Genomic DNA, 16,595 nt, shown 5'->3' with positions numbered 1-16,595 from the left:
TATGTACAACACAATATTATGATTTGTGGAGGACTTTCTACCACATATCCTTCTCAATATTTTATTCCAAGTGAACAGCATACCATCGGTTTCGTGAATATAAGGTTATTCTACTTGCATGTGCTTGCTGTATTGGGTCCTATTATGGTTATAGTTTATTCATGGACAGTCTGTAGAAAATTTTCTTGTAGGAAAACTGGCAAGAGCATGGGAAGAACTAGACTTCACAGTGAAATCTACATATTTTTCTTCATGGAAGCAAAAAAAGGTGGGCAGGGTTTTTTGACAGTGAGCTGCCAGAAGCTCTGGCCATCCTGTTGCAATTGAACAGCATAATGAATGGGTGGAAATCACCTCTAAAAGTGAGGTTGTCCGAGGAACCAGGAACAGGCAGGTAGAGGATGAGGATGTGGATACAGTATTCCAGTATAGAGGCCTTGTAGAGGATTTAGTATATTAAAATATGAAGAAATTGTGAAAAGTTTCAGTCTCATCTGCATAAATAATATATATAAATAAGAATAATTAATTGAGTTTCTACTGATGAACCAGTTTCTACAATTGATGCTATGAAATATTTTTTTAAAAAGAAAAAAATTATGGTCTGTCTTTAAAGAGCTTTTGGATGCAAATAGGCTGTCAAGAGGGACCTTTTAAATTTATTTCAGTTCACTACTAACACTCTGTTTTTGCATACATTTCAATGCTACCTGCCCATTTAGGTGTGGGCTTTCTGCCATGTCTTTTGTTTGGTTTTTGTAATGATAATAAGGTAGTTGTGATTTTGAGATATAGCATTAAAGAGTTATCTATGAAACATAAGGTAGGTCTCTTTGTTCACAGTTTTATAATAGCACAAAAAAGATCTGAATATAATATACATATAACCACCTACTATCTATCTATCTTTTTTTTTTTTTAAATTGAGACAGAGTCTTGTTCTCGCCCCAGGCTGGAGTGCAGTGCCACGATCTCAGCTCACTGCAACCTCAGTCTCCTGGGTTCAAGGGATTCTCCTGCCTCAGCCTCCTGAGTAGCTGGGACTACAGGTGTGCACCACCATGCCTGGTTAATTTTTGTATTTTTAGTAGAGACAGGATTTCACCATGCTGGCCAGGCTGGACTCCAACTCCTGACCTCAAGTAATCCATCTAGTTCAGCCTCCCAAATTGTTGGGATTACAGGCGTTAGCCACCGTGTCCAGGCCTATTATCTATCTATCTATCTCTACTCTCAAACTCTTAAACTCTCAGACTTGAAGCAGCAATCCTCCTGCCTCAGCCTCCCAAAGTGCTGGGATTACAGGTGTGAGCCATGGCATCTGGCCAGGATCTACTATTTTTTAAAAAACATTTTTTCTGCTTCTACTTTCTTCTGCTTTTTTGCATCTGGCATAGGCCTCTTCATTAGAGCCTTTTTAGACTTTTCAGACCTCCCATGTTTGCCCATATAACTTATCTTCTTTTTTCTCGGCTATTTCTCTCATATTAGCCTCAACCCTATCTCATATGTGAACAGGTCTACCATTTGAACAAATCATGAAATTTGAGCAGATCATGAGAAAAATGTATGACTGATCCATTTTGTGTTGCATTTTACATATGAATGGCTATTTGTACATGCTTGCACAATCTAGTAGTAGAAATACACAGGAGTGATCTGTGCTAAGACATTTGCCTTAAATGTGGAACTATGGAGGAGAGCAAACCTCACCTTGGGACAATTCCTGAGCCTGCCCATCCTCCCCTGTCAGCCAGTAAATACCATATTTGTGAAATTAGGGAGAAATTTTTACTGAAATTGTCAAGAAAGACAGCCATGAATGAAAGAACATGCTGAAATCTATTGCTATTACACTAATGCTTTTCATTTAATTTTCAAGGAATCTAAAATTTTGTCTAAAAAAGACCTTAAAATTATATTTAGGGATGATTCATAACCTTTATATAATATCATTATAGAAAAAAGGTTTTCTCTATTCCTACGGCTAATACAATTGTTTCTCTTTTATTTTCTATTCAAAGATATAAATTAATGAAATTTATTATAGAATCATATTTCTACTTGCAATTTTTCAGAAATAATAAAAGTATATATGGCCACACAAATATGATTAGGGAAATTTACCTGTGGCACACAAAATGAGCTCATATTCTGAAATGAGAACATTTGAAATTGAATTACTCTTTGGATTAAGCTTAAAATTGAAACCATAAGCAAATGCATATTCAATTTTTTTCCTGTGGTCTATTATCAATCTTTGGTAGGCTTCATCAGCAAGTATATTTTTTGAAAGTCAATCAAAGAAATACAATGTAGAGTTTATTTTAAAGGACTACATATTAAACATTATAACAATGTAGAGTTTATTTTAAAGGACTACATATTAAACATTATACTTACAAATGTGATTTCTGCATGGAAAAAGCCATGTCAGTGATGAAGAAAAATATTACTTGATGGTAATATATTAAGACATCATGCTACTTTTATGTGGCCTTTTCATCATTTCAAAAAAACATTGTAGAGCTAGAGAAAAACATTGATCTTTTCAATAGTTTGCATATTGAATTTAGAAATATGCCTTCAACTTTACAAATATTACATTGTAAGGACTAAAATCTTTCAAACCATCTATTCCAACAAATTTCTGTCATATAAATATTTATTCCAGAAATTTAATCTTGATTAAGAGTGGCAAACGTGAAGTTCTCCCTGGATGTCCTATATCTTCCCCGCAAGACCAATTTTATCTCCCTAAGTTGTAGGGCTTTGGGATCCTGCTCTTCAAAATAAATCTGGTCCAATAGTATACATTACCCCAGTAAGCAGATTGAAAGGCATGGGCACCCCCTTTATTTCCTCAAAATTTCCACAGACGATACTGTTTAATTTTTTAAAATTTGTTTGTTTTATTTTGATTTTTTGTTTTGCTTTTATATCTACCTCCATGACATAGTATTTTTTGGCAACAAAATTTTTAAGTTTATTAGATATATGGAAACAAATCAATGTCATCCAATCATAAAATTTCACAGTTTGAAAATTATGGATAAACCTGGAAGACATTATGTTAAGTGAAACAAGCCAAGCACAGATATTCAGATACTACATGATCCCACTTGTATGTGGAATCTAAAGTAGTTGAAGTAATTGCAGCAGACAGTATAAGAGTGGTTACTAGGGGCTGGGATATGGATTGAGAGATGTTGGTCAAAGGATACAAAATTTAAATTTCTTGAACTAATAAATTCAATAAATCTATTGTACAACATGGTAACTATAGTTAATAACTATCTATTTTTGAAAATAGATTTTTTAAGTGCTCTCACCACAAAAAAGTATATAATAGATATGTTAATTAGCTTGGTTTAGCCATCACACAAGGTATACATATTTTAAAACAACATGTTGTACACAACAAATATACAAAATTCTATATGTTGATTTAAAAATAAGTTGGTAATAAAAATATCAAAGTACAGCTACATAAGAATGGGTGAATATTTATAAAAGATAAGGATGTCTTTTGCAACAGGAATTCCATTAAAAAAGAAAAATATTGAACGTCAGCTTGGAAGCAATTTAGCTGACTAACATTTCTACTAAATCTATCCCCAGTGGTCCCTCGATGTCCTCATAGGTACTACTTAAACGATCTCGTCTCACTTCATTCTCAGCTCTCCAAAGTTTGCCTTCAATGCTGCCTGCTAGGAAACTGGGCCTTATAAATCCTGAACTTCCTTGTACTTATGGTTTATTTTTAAGTCATAATTATATTCTTTTCCTAAATCAGAGATTGCAAACTAGTGTAGTTGTTGAGGCAATGGGCATATTTTATTTTACCTATTTATATTTTAATGTTTAAAAATCTGTTGTCAGCCGGGCGCGGTGGCTCAAGCCTGTAATCCCAGCACTTTGGGAGGCTGAGGTGGGCAGATCATGAGGTCAGGAGATCGAGACCATCCTTGCTAACGCGGTGAAACCCCATCTCTACTAAAAATACAAAAAATTAGCCGGGCGTGGTGGTGGGCGCCTGTGGTCCCAGCTACTTGGGAGGCTGAGGCAGGAGAATGGCGTGAACCCGGGAGGCAGAGCTTGCAGTAAGCCGAGACCGTGCCACTGCACTCCAGCCTGGGTGACAGAGTGAGACTCCATCTCAAAAATAAATAAATAAATAATAAAAATCTGTTGTCAATCTTAGCATCAAGATATTTTATATACAATTAAAATATTAGAAGACTTGGTAGCATGGGCTCCATATTCCAAGATGGCAAGAATTTGCTGGGATTGAGTAGCAGCTACTAGTAGCAGCTACCCTCTCTGAGTAGCATCAGAGAGGGCATGTTCTATCTATTTTCCACCGTCTCATCATGCTTGCTTCACTCATTTACATTACCTGAGGGATCCTTGTAAAATGTGAATTTTCAGTTTCTGAAAGTAAAACTGAATAAGGCAACTTTTTTGTTGCCTCTTAAGCTATTTTTACCATCAAGGAATCCTAGTCAAAAATTAAGAGAACAAATCCCTGAGCAAACATTAAAAGCGTCCAGTCTGTAGAGGCACAGAGCTTATGTTTATTGATGAAGTGCATTTAGTTCCTCTAACAATGCAATGATTATAGGAACAAAGTGCAAAATGCAAGCACAAGAAAAGGGGAATCATCTTCTGATGTGGCGTGTGTAATGCTATTTGAGGGGTGGTATGGGAGAAGCTGATATCTAATTAAGTTGAAATTTAACTAATGAGTAGTATTTCAGCTAAAACCTAAAAACTGGGAGGGGAAAATTTAAAAAAATTACTCTGGTTATAAGAGCACATTGCGCAAAAACCTACAGGTAAAAAAAAATAACGGTGATTCTCTTGTGGGCATAAGTAAGAATTAAGACTAGCAATTTAGGTCACACATCAAATCATGGTTTTGTATGCCACACATATTAAGTTCTGATGTTTTAATCCAAAATGAAAAGATGTTGCTATCTCTCCAGCTGCTGTGACCTGATCATGTTCTACTCAACCAATATCAGAAGGACTCAAGAAACTCCCAGTATTTTCCTCTAATATACAGACTATTCATTGTCTCCAATTTCTCTTTCTCAAACTTGCCACTTGCATATAATCATCAGCCTGGATTTCATTGCTCACTCGTAAATCGTTTATTTTAAACTAACTTTTTCTTACAGTTTAAATTCTAGCCTGTGGGTAACATTGCATCAAGGGTTTTGAGGAGAAACAACAGATGCAGTTTCTCCACAGGAGCTAACATACTAATGGCTATAAATTGGTCCAAATGTGTTTAACACGGAATCAGCGTCTTCTGCTTCTTCGCCCATAGCAAGAATCACAAAGTTGGACATTTCAGACATTTTAAGAACTCCTGTGTAAGGCTCAAAACTGTTCTTTTGAAACACTTCAGTTTGTGGTTGTGGGCTGCCAACTGGTATCTTCCTTTAGGTAATAAAGAGCTGATTTTTATGCTGTAACATTTCTGGTGTGCAGTTGATAAAATGAAAATTGATATTTAAAATCTTTTTTCCTTTCAGCTCACTCCAGTTGGTACCACAATATTCACAGGATTTTCAGGAGACAATGGAGCTACAGATATAGATGATGGACCAAATGGACAGATAGAGTATGTTATTCAGTATAATCCAGATGATCCGGTATGTAAATACCTATTTGCAATGTAATTTTCTTAAAAGGAATAAAATTAATGATTTTTTCAGCTGATAGTTATTGTATTATTCAGTAACTTCCAGAACCAGATTAGTAATGATACTATTATTTAAAAATGTCTCAAAATTGAATTATTTGTAATATTTATGCTTTATTGCTAGAAGCTAATTTTTGATGGTATTTTTAGATAAGGTTTAAAATATATTCATAGGTATAATATGCCTCATTTACTAAATTTCTGTTATGTTTGTGGTCTCCAAAGCATTCTAAATAAATCACTGGAGATGAGATAACAAGTGTCAAACATGAATTTTATGCAACTCATAAATTAATACCAATATTGTTGCTATACCTCAAGAACACACACCAAGTATTGCTGGAGTTGATAAGCCTTTAAACTTCTAGCCGTCCACCAGTTAAACCAAAGATAGAGAAGAAGACAAGACAAAGCCACTAGCTATAGTCTGTTTTATTTTGTTGTTTTTCTTCCTTTTTTTCCATTAGACAAGATGATTTCTTTTTTTTTTTTTTTTTTTTTTTTTTTTTTTTTGAGACGGAGTCTCGCTCTGTTGCCCAGGCTGGAGTGCAGTGGCGTGATCTTGGCTCACTGGAAGCTCAATTTTTTTGTATATTTAGTAGAGATGGGGTTTCACTGTGTTAGCCAGGATGGTCTCAATCTCCTGACCTCGTGATCCGCCTGCCTCGGCCTCCCAAATAGACAAGAAGATTTCTATGTTGTTTTTTAAGGCCATGAATCATTTCCTCTAATGACATATTATTCAAAAAAACAGACAAAGTAAGATTTTTTTTAACTGAAGCTAGAGCTGGAAGCCTTGCCTCACATCTCCCCACTTTCTTTGAGGCAGCTCCTCAAAATCCCACGGGCCCCCCAAAGCAATTATAAATGCACTACTTAAATAAGCTTTCAAATTGAATGCATCTCTTTTATGTTTAATAAATATTAGAAATATAAACAATGGTGAAGTTAACATTTTGCCCTTATTTTTACCATTGTATGTTGTAGATAAACTTTAGACAGACAAGCAAAAACAAACAAACAAAAAACTCTATTGGGATAGTAGAGTCTGAGAACTCACAGTAAGATCTACATCACAAATTTATTGCATTATGTTAAGTAAATTGTGGATGCATTTTCTCATTTTATCCTCACAAATCAGTTAAAAGTAGTATTATCTCTGTTGCATAGCAAAGAAAACTCGTAAGTGAAGTGATTTGGGTCATATTAGAAAACTACTTCTGAACTGTAAAATCCAGTTTCAGTATACTCTTCCTCTATTGTGTTCTCACAAAAAAAACTTGTACTGGCTGTGTTAAAATTTTAATAAATTTGGAAAATAAGTATATATATATAATATATATATATACATTTTATTAGCAGGGTGAAGGTCAGATTTTAGAGTCTTGTTTTTTTTTTTTTTTTTTTTTTGCTTTGTTTCTCTAAAAGAGGACTTTTTTTTAGGCAGAGACAATAAAACCAAGAGTTGGGGATATGATGAGAATGTGACAGAGAAGGACAGTATGAAGGGTTACATAAGAAATGAAGTGGGAAGTAGCAAAGAAACAGCAAAGAAAAGGGCAGCAGAAATGCTTTTTCTTAAATGTAGAAACAGCTGACTGAACATTCGATTTTGAAACCATTTATTTTGTTTGCTCTTTAGGTATTTTTTTAAAGAATTAATTGTACGTGTGCGCCATGTTTCTAGCTCAAATTTTATGAAGGTTACTTTCTAATCTTTACTCCCCAAGGTGTAAAAATAAAACCTCCCAGCAAGTATCAAATGACTAGTCCATGTTTTTTAGGGAGATATTTATTGCATGCATAAAAATATTCAATGTTTAGATATAGTTTGAGAGCAAAAATATATTACTTTAAACTATCTTTCTGCTTAAAATGTAGACAGTTAATAAGGCTTAAATTCTTTTTTAACTGTGCAATAATTCTGTCTCAATGCCTCCCCATTCCAGGGAAGTGTAGGTTTGCTGTACAATATAATATGTAACTCTTACTCCCTACAGAGTGGATAAACCAATCAACCACATGCATTTTCAAAATTACAAATGAAAAAAGAAAAATAAATAATATATGTTTTAGCAAGCTAAAATGCTCTTAATTCTGTGGAAAAAATAGTAAGACATCATGACACTTAACTTAGGATGTATTGAAGGAAAAAAGGATTAACCAAGGTACAATCTTAGGGAGAGAATCCACTTTTAGACTTCATATAAAATTAGTGTAAACCTCAGTACCAGTTTCTTCTCTTGTAAGACCTGTGAGAAAATACATGATAAATTTTATGTTCTGCTACTACTAAATCTCTAGTAATTCTGCTTACATTAATAGCACCATAGTGTGGCACTTTTACTAGTCAAAATAATAACATTTCAATAAAGCAAAATATTGTAAATTCTTCACCATAACTATTTTATTTAATATATGAATAAAATTGGAATAATTAAATTGAGCCTTTCTGTTTTGTTGCAAATCTTTTTTTTTATGTTTCAACTTATTTTTATTTTTATTTTTTATTTTTTATTATTTTACTTTAAGTTCTAGGGTACATGTGCACAACGTGCGGGTTTGTTACATATGTATACATGTGCCATGTTGGTGTGCTGCACCTGTTAACTCGTCATTTACATTAGGTATATCTCCTAATGCTGTCCCTCTCCCCTCCCACCTCCCCCCGCAAATCTACAAAGAACTTAAGCAACTCTTTTTATTGCAATTCAAATGGTGTTCTAAAACAAAGAAGCAACAAGTTTGGGAATAAATAGTTGCTGAACTGATTGATCCAATTTAAAGTGAAAGTGTTACAGTAGTGTGCATTTTCACACTTCTATAAAGAATAACTAAGACTGGGTAATTTATAATAAAATAATTTTAAATGACTCACAGTTCCAAATGGCTGGGAAGGCCTCAGGAAACTTACAATCACAGCAAAAGGGAAAGGGGGAGGAAGGAACATCTTACATGGCAGCAGGAGAGAGAGAGTGAAGGGGGAATTATCACTATTAAACCATCAGACCTCATGAGAATGCCCTCACTCTCACAAAAACAGCAGGGGGAAAACTGCCCCATGATCCAGTCACCTCCCACCAGGTCACTCCCTAGATTCATGGAGATTACAATTCAACATGAGATTTTAGTCGGGACACAGAGACAAACCATATAATTCCAACCATGGCCTCTTCCAAATCTCTTGTCCTTTTGACATTTCAGAACCAATCATGCCTTCTCAATAGTTCCCTAAAGTCTTAAATCATTTCAGCATTAACTCAAAAGTCCAAGTTCAAAGTTTCATCTGAGACAAGTCAATTCCCTTTAACCCATAAGCCTATAAAATCAAAAACAAGTTGTTACTTCCAAGATACAATGAGGGTACAGACATTAGGTATATACACCCATTCTGTATGTGAGAAATTGGCCCAAATAAAGGCACCACAGGCCCCATGCAAGTCCACAACACAGCAGGGCAGTTATTAAATCTTAAAGCTTCGAAATAATCTCATTTGACTCCATGTCTCACATCCAGGGCACATTAATGCAAAGGGTAAGCTTCCAAGGCCTTGGGCAGCTATGTCCCTGTGGCTCTGCAGGGTACTGCCCCTGCAGCTGCCTTCTCAGGCTGGCATTGAGTGCTTGTGGTTTTTCCAAGCACATGATGCAAGCTGTCTGTGGATCTATCATTCTAGGATCTGGAGGAGACAGTGGGACTCTTTTCACAGCTCCACTAGGCAGTCCCAAGTGGGGACTCCAATTCCACTTTTTCCCTCTGCATTATGCTAGTAGATGTTTTCCATGAGGGCTCCACCCCTGCAGCAGATATCTGCCTGGACATGCTGGCATTTTCACACATCCTCTGAAACCAAGGTGGAGGTTCCCAAAGCTCAACTCTTGTCTTCTATGTACCTGCAGGCCCAACACCACATGTAAGCCACCAAGGCATGGGGCTTGCACCTCTGAAGCAATGGCCTGAACTGTACATTTTAGCCATGGCTGGAGCTAGAGTGGCAGGGACATAGGATGCCATGTCCTAAGGCTGCACAGAGCAGTGGGGCCCTGGTCCCAGCTCAGAAAACCATTTTTCCCTCCTAGGCCTCCAGGCCTGTGATTTGAGCGGCTGCCATGAAGATCCCTAAAATGCCCTGGAGGCATTTTTCCCATTGTCTTGGCTATTAATAGTTGGTTCCTCGTTACTTATGCAAATTTCTGCACCCAGCTTGAATTTTCCCCCAGAAAATGGGATTTTCTTTTCTACCACATGGTCAGGCTGCAGATTCTTTAAAGTTTTATTCTCTGCTTCCCTTTTAAACATAAGTTCCAGTTTCACATAATGTCTTCATATATGCCTATGACTGTATGCTTTCAGAAAAAGACAGGTCACATCTTGAATACTTTGCTGCTTAGAAATTTCTCCTGCCAGATACCCTAAATCATCTTTCTCAAGTTCCAAGTTCCACAGATCTAGGGCAGGGGCAAAATGCCACCAGTCTCTTTGCTAAAGCATAGCAAGAGTGACTTTTGCTCCAGTTCCCAATAAGTTCCTCACCTCCATCTGAGACCACCTCAGCCTGGACTTCATTGTCCGTATCACTATCAGCATTTTGGTTGAAAGCATTCACAAAGTCTCTAGGAAGGTCCAAACTTTCCCACATCTTCCTGTTTTCTTCTGAGCCCTCCAAACTGTTCCAACCTCTGACCATTACCCAGTTCCAAAGTTGCTTCTATATTTTCAGGTTATCATCTTAACAGTACTCCACTATCCCAGTACCAATTTCCTGTATTAGTTTGTTATCACACTGCTATAAAGATACTACCTGAGAGTGTGTAATTTACAAAGAAAGGAGGTTTAACTGACTCACAGTTCTGAATGGCTAGGGACACCTCAGGAAACTTACAATCATGGCAGAAGGTGAAGGAGAAGCATGGTGTATCTTACATGCAGCAGGAGGCAGAAAGAGCAAAAATGGAAGTGCCACTTTTAAACCATCAGATCTCGTGAGAACTCACTATCGGGAGAACAGCATGGGGGAAACTGCCCCCATAAACCAGTCACCACCTACCAGATCCCTCCCTCAATACATGGGGATTACAATTTGACATTGTAATTTGTTTTGGGTGGGGACACAGAGCCAAACCATATCAACTAGATGGTTAGGCAGATATGAGCAGGGCAGGAGAGGACCACCCCCAGGAATGTCAGCTGATCGTCAGGTGATGGTTAGGTGGCTTTTAAACTTTTTCTGTAAAAGAATAATTGATCACAGCCAGTGCCAGGGAAATATAGTCTCCCAATAGATAGAAAACACTTGAAGCTGGTGATCAGCAGCTTCCCAATAAGAGCTTAGAAGTTGGGCAAGAGGGCTGAAGCATGCACGTTAAGAGGCAAAATGGCAGAATTTCACTAGTATATGACCTTTTTCTGGGAATGTTAAACTGGTAAGGCAAAAATGCCTCAAGTAAGCATGCAACAACTTCAGTAAACATACTGCACATGAAGACCCTCCCAAGTGCACCAGCAGGCACTGTGCATGTGGACAGCCTGCCCCAAAAGAAAAATCAAGGGAGGAGAATGGCAAACCCCCAAACCATGCCAATGTAGAAAACCCCCAAGTGAAGGGATGAACAAGGCACTTGGATCTTTCAAGTCACCCACTTAGCCGTCTTCCAAGAGTATTTTGCTTGCTTTCATTCCTGCTCTAAAACTTTTTAATAAGCTCTCACTCTTACTCTAAAACTCACCTCAATCTCTCCCTCTGCCTTAAACTTACTTCTTCCCCTAAATCACATTCTTTCCTCTGAGGTTAGGACCGAGTTGCTGCAGACCCATATGGATTCACTGCTGTTAACAAAAGCACTTGAGCTGTTTACCAAAAATGTTTGGTTCTTCCTCTCTTTTGATTCATACTAGAGGTGTACTTTTCTTGCCTGGAGAAAAGTATTTGCTTTGACTAATGAAATGTAAACTCAAAGAACCAATATACAAGTAATCATATTCTCTGCCCCTGCTGTTGTGATCAGAGAAAAACATGTTGAGGAGAAACATTCATTAGCCAATGACAACAATAAAAAGAGACCACTTGCTGATGCATATTAGATATGTAGATATGAAAAGTAAAGAAAAAAATGAAAGTTTAAGGGTTTGTTCCTGCAGCATTCCCTATCCTTTCATGGCTGATGTATTTAGAAAAAAATAATTTAGTAAATATCTTCTTCTAAAAGTCCTCTAGACAATTGTTAAATAAAAATATTATTTAATGATACATTAAAACATGGTAAGAAAGACCTTATTCAGGACCACTGCAATAGGTATAGAAATCATTGCAATGAGGTCTTGCAGTTGGAGAGAGATATTGGACTCAACTAAAAATAAAGCATGGGCAAGTGGGACTTTATAACCAAGGAGCAGGGTCAGGGTCACTGGATGGAAAATTACTAGGAGGAAACATCAGAGATTAGGGGAATTCTGGCTAAAACACGCTAATACGATTGTTGCTGAAGACAAGTCAGGGTGATCAGACATCACCTAAGGGGTGGTGCAGGATGAGAAACCTGATGAGTTTTCAAGATAGATCATTCATCAAAGGTAGAGGAGTTCTTGGTAAAGTGATATAGTATGGTTCTTTGTTAAAAAGTGATTTTATGAGGAAGTATACAGATGAGCCTAGGAGAAGATTCAGAAGCCTGATCAAGTTTGGCCAGGCAAAGAATCTTTGTCAGTCTGCACTATTGTTCAGAAGAAGAAGCATTCTTCTTTCTTTTGTATAAGTTCATTTTCTCATTTGGTCACCTTTTGTTTATTAAGTACCACTTGAATTATCTGTTGGAACTTGGTAGTAGACAATATGTAAAAATATGTACTGGACAATATATGTTGTCAGGCCTTTAATTAGGGGCATTTAATTTCTATGCAATTTCTAGTGTACTCATCACAGTTATTGTAAAATACTGCTGATTTTTTTTTTTGTTTAATGCCTTCATGGTAATACAAAGTAAGAGTGTTCATAATGCACTGAACTAATTCAGAGGTGTCTGTCTAATCTTTTGGCTTCCCTGAGCCACACTGGAAGAAAAAGAATTGTCTTGGGCCACACACAAATTACACTAACGTGAATGACAGCTGATGAGCTGATAATAAAAAATCACAAATAAATCTTATAATGTTTTAAGGACATTTACATGTTTGTGTTGGGCCACATTCAGAGCCAACCTGGGCCCCATGTAGCCTGTGGGCTATGGGTTAGACAAGCTTGAATTAGTTTGTTTTGAAAAAATAAAAGAAGAACTCTGAAATTGATAAGAATTTGTCATCACATGATCTGCAGTAACTTTCATTTTTGAGAATTTGTCTTATATGGAAAAATCTAAATATAGGTATTCTGATATATTAAATCTCATTGTTAGCAAGATTGATAAGACTATTTAGACAATAATTATCATGTCTTTTTGATCTTTTTTTTTATTTTAATGCCAGACTGGAGGCATGTTTATTCAGCATTTTAAGTTTGACCTAAAGTGATAAGGAGGAGACTGATGACATGTCCCTTGTAGCAGTCTCCAGTTTACTGAGGAAGCAGCATAACATTGTTATTCACTACTGTTACTACTCAGAAAAAAAAAATGAAGACACTTAAGCAATATGCATAAGCAGCTTCTTTCTTTGAGGTATTACAGTGGTGTTTCAGTGGGTGGTAACATCTTTTATCAAGTCCTCCTGAGTAAATTGTCCTTCTTTTGTAATATGTTTGACTCCCCGTAGCTTTGAGATAATTCAGAAAATGTAAGCCATAATTTTCATTTGTAATGTGTAAGCATTTGAATTTCCTGAGTCAGGAAGTTAAAACCACATTTTAAGGACAAACGATTTTTAAAAAAATCACCATCCTGAAGTAGTTCTGTGTGTGTGTATATATGTCAAAGTCCAAATTTCAGATGTCAATAAAATATTTAAGGTTAAGCTAAAACAGTGATTACTTATTCCTAGGTAGGTTACTAAAAAATTTACTGTAGTTTAATAATACTTTTCAGGGTACATTATATCATGAGATTTCCATGCCTCCATAAATTCATAATATTCTCATTTTACTGGAAACTCATGTATAATTAAGACTGGTGTAAAGGCCTTCTTTGTGTAAAACTTCGAACCTCAGTCTTTTCACACCAAGGCTGTGACTTTTAAGTTTCAAAACCCAACCAAACACAAATACAGTTTCCTTGGAAGTTGGATGGAATAAGATAAGTTGAACTGCATTGTAATCATAATGCATCATTAAATGTGAATGAATCTGTTTGTATTTGTGTGAGGGAGAGTGGTAAATTTATATTGTAAGCAAATGTTCTCTGGAAAGGAATTTGGACGAAAGAGACTTTATTTCAGTGAACAGTTTTCAAACCATGGATATACAGCCTGTGGTTTCAAGCTAAGACACATTTCAGAGAACAAAGAGAGGGTTAGGGTTTTATAGCTATAGTTCCCACCCAGGTTCCCAATAAGCTGTCTTCATCCAAATGAAGGATAGATCCTTGCTTAATTCTGATTGGTCAAAACAGATGAGTCATGACTGTTCTATACACTGATTGGTTGATTCAGGTGAGCTCTGATTGGTTGATTTCCAAGCCCCAAACCAGAAGTTTCTGTCAGATGTTTCTTTCAAAGGGCTAGTGCTAAAGGGCCAGTGTAGGGATGGCATAGGGGGCAAAAGGAAGTAGTTCCAGCTGTAGTTTATCTTGGCACCAAGAACAGGATCTGTTTTTGCTTTATTGTTGTGTTAGTCCGTTTTCACGCTGTTGATAAAGACATACCTGAGACTGGGTAATTTATAAAGAAAAAGGGGTTTAATGGACCCACAGTTCCACGTGGCTGGGGAGGCCACCCCCATGATTTAATTATCTCTCACCGGGTCCCTCCCTCAACACTTGGGGATTATGGGAGCTACAGTTCAAGGTGAGATTTGGGTGGGGATTCAGCCAAATCATATTACTCTACACCTGGCACCTCCCAAATCTCATGTCCTCACATTTTAAAACCAATCATGCCTTACCAACAGTCCCTCAAAGTTTTAACTCATTTCATCATTAACTCAAAAGCTCACAGTCCAAAGTCTCATCTGAGACAAAGCAAGTTCCTTACACCCATGAGCCTGTAAAATCAAAAGTAAGTTAGTTACTTCCTAGATAAAATGGGGGTACAGGCATTGGGTATGAATATATATATATATACATTCCAAATGAGAGAAATTGGCAAAAACAAAGGGTCTAAAGGCCCTATACAAGTCTGAAATCCAGTGGGGCAGTCAAATCTTAAAGCTCCAAAATGATCTTCTTTGACACCATGTCTCACATCCAGGTCATGCTGATGCAAGAAGTGGGTTCCCATGGTCTTGGGCAGCTCCACCCCTGTTGCTTTGCAGGGTACAGCCTCCCTCCTGGCTGCTTTCACAGTTTGGCCTTGAGTGTCTGCTGCTTTCCAGGCATGCAGTGCAAACTATCAGTAAATCTACTTTCTGGGTTCTGGAGGACAGTGGCCCTCTACTCACAGCTTCACTAGGCAGTGCGCCAGTGGCAACTCTTTGTGGGGACTTCAACCCCACACTTCCTTTCCATGCTGCCCTAGCAGAGGTTCTCCATGAGGGCCCTGCCCCTTCAGCAAACTTTTGTCTGGACATCCAGGCATTTCCATACATCCTCTGAAATCTAGGTGGAGGTTCCCAAACCTCAGTTCTTGACTTCTGCGGACCCATAGGCTCCACACCATGTGAAAGCTACCAAGGCTTGGGGCTTGCACCTTCTGAAGCCGCAGCCTGAGCTATGTCTTCACTCCTTATAGCCATGGCTGGAGCAGCTGGGACACGGGGCACCGAGTTCCTAGGCTGCACACGGAAAGGGGGGTCCAGGACCTGGCCCATGAAACCGCTTTTTTCTCCTAGGGCTCCTGGCCTATGATGGGAGGGGCTGCCACAAATGTCTCTGACACACCCTGGAGACATTTTCCCCATGCCTTGGTGATTAACATTTGGTTCCTCATTACTTATGCAAATTTCTGCAACTGGCTTGAATTTCTCCTCAGAAAATGGGTGTTTCTTTTCTACTGCATTATCAGGCTGCAAATTTTCTGAATTTTTATGCTCTGTCTCACTTTTAAAACTGAATGCTTTTAATGGCACTGAAGTCACATCTTGAATGTTTTGCTACTTAGAAACTTATGTCACCAAATAACCTAAATCATCTCCCTCAAATTCAAGGTTCCACAAATCTCTACGTCAGGGACAAAATGCCACCAGTCTCTTTGATAAAACATAGCAAGGGTTACCTTTACTCCAGTATCCTCATCTCCATCTGAGATCACTTTACCCTGGATTTCATTGTCCGTATCATTATCAGCATTTTGGTCAAAGCCAATGAAAAAGTCTCTAGGAAGTTCCAAACATTCCCACCTTTTCCTGTCCTTCTGAGCCCTCCAAACTGTTCCAACCTCTGCCTGCCACCCAGTTCCAAAGTTGCCTCCACATTTTTTGATATCTTTACAGCAGGACCCCACTCTACCAGTGCCAATTTACTGTGTTAGTCTGTTTTCACACTTCTGATAAAGACATACGTGAGACTGGGTAATGTATAAAGAAAAAGAGGTTTAATGGACTCAGTTCCATGTGCCTGGGAGGCCTCACAATCTTGGTGGGAGGCAAAAGGCATGTCTTACATGGAAGCAGACTAAGAGAGAATTTAATCAAGTGAAAGTGATTTCCCTTTATAAAAGCATCAGATCTCATGAGACTTATTCACTACCACAAAAACAGTATGGGGAAATGCCATGATTCAATTATCTCACACCAGCTCCCTCCCACAACACGTGGGAATTATGGAAGCTACAATTCAAGATGAAATTTGCATGAGGACACAC

The 16,595-nt window shown here is 37.5% G+C and overlaps 1 protein-coding gene across 20 annotated transcripts in view; it reads left to right on the top strand.

The window, feature by feature from the left end:
• PCDH15 (protocadherin related 15) overlaps positions 1 to 16,595 on the top strand; it is a 1,825,172-nt gene that overhangs the window by 1,275,915 nt on the left and 532,662 nt on the right. For all 20 annotated transcript variants that reach the window (XM_047425663.1, NM_001354420.2, NM_001354429.2 and 17 more), the window contains one exon: positions 5,544 to 5,663. In XM_047425663.1, the coding sequence (XP_047281619.1) occupies positions 5,544 to 5,663 (120 nt within the window). The remainder of the gene's footprint in view (positions 1 to 5,543; positions 5,664 to 16,595) is intronic.

The sequence above is a fragment of the Homo sapiens genome, chromosome 10 (assembly GCF_000001405.40).
Source record: "Homo sapiens chromosome 10, GRCh38.p14 Primary Assembly".
NCBI lineage: Eukaryota > Metazoa > Chordata > Mammalia > Primates > Hominidae > Homo > Homo sapiens.
The sequence above is the reverse complement of the archived record's forward strand: the minus strand, read 5'-3'. Positions and strand labels throughout refer to the sequence as shown.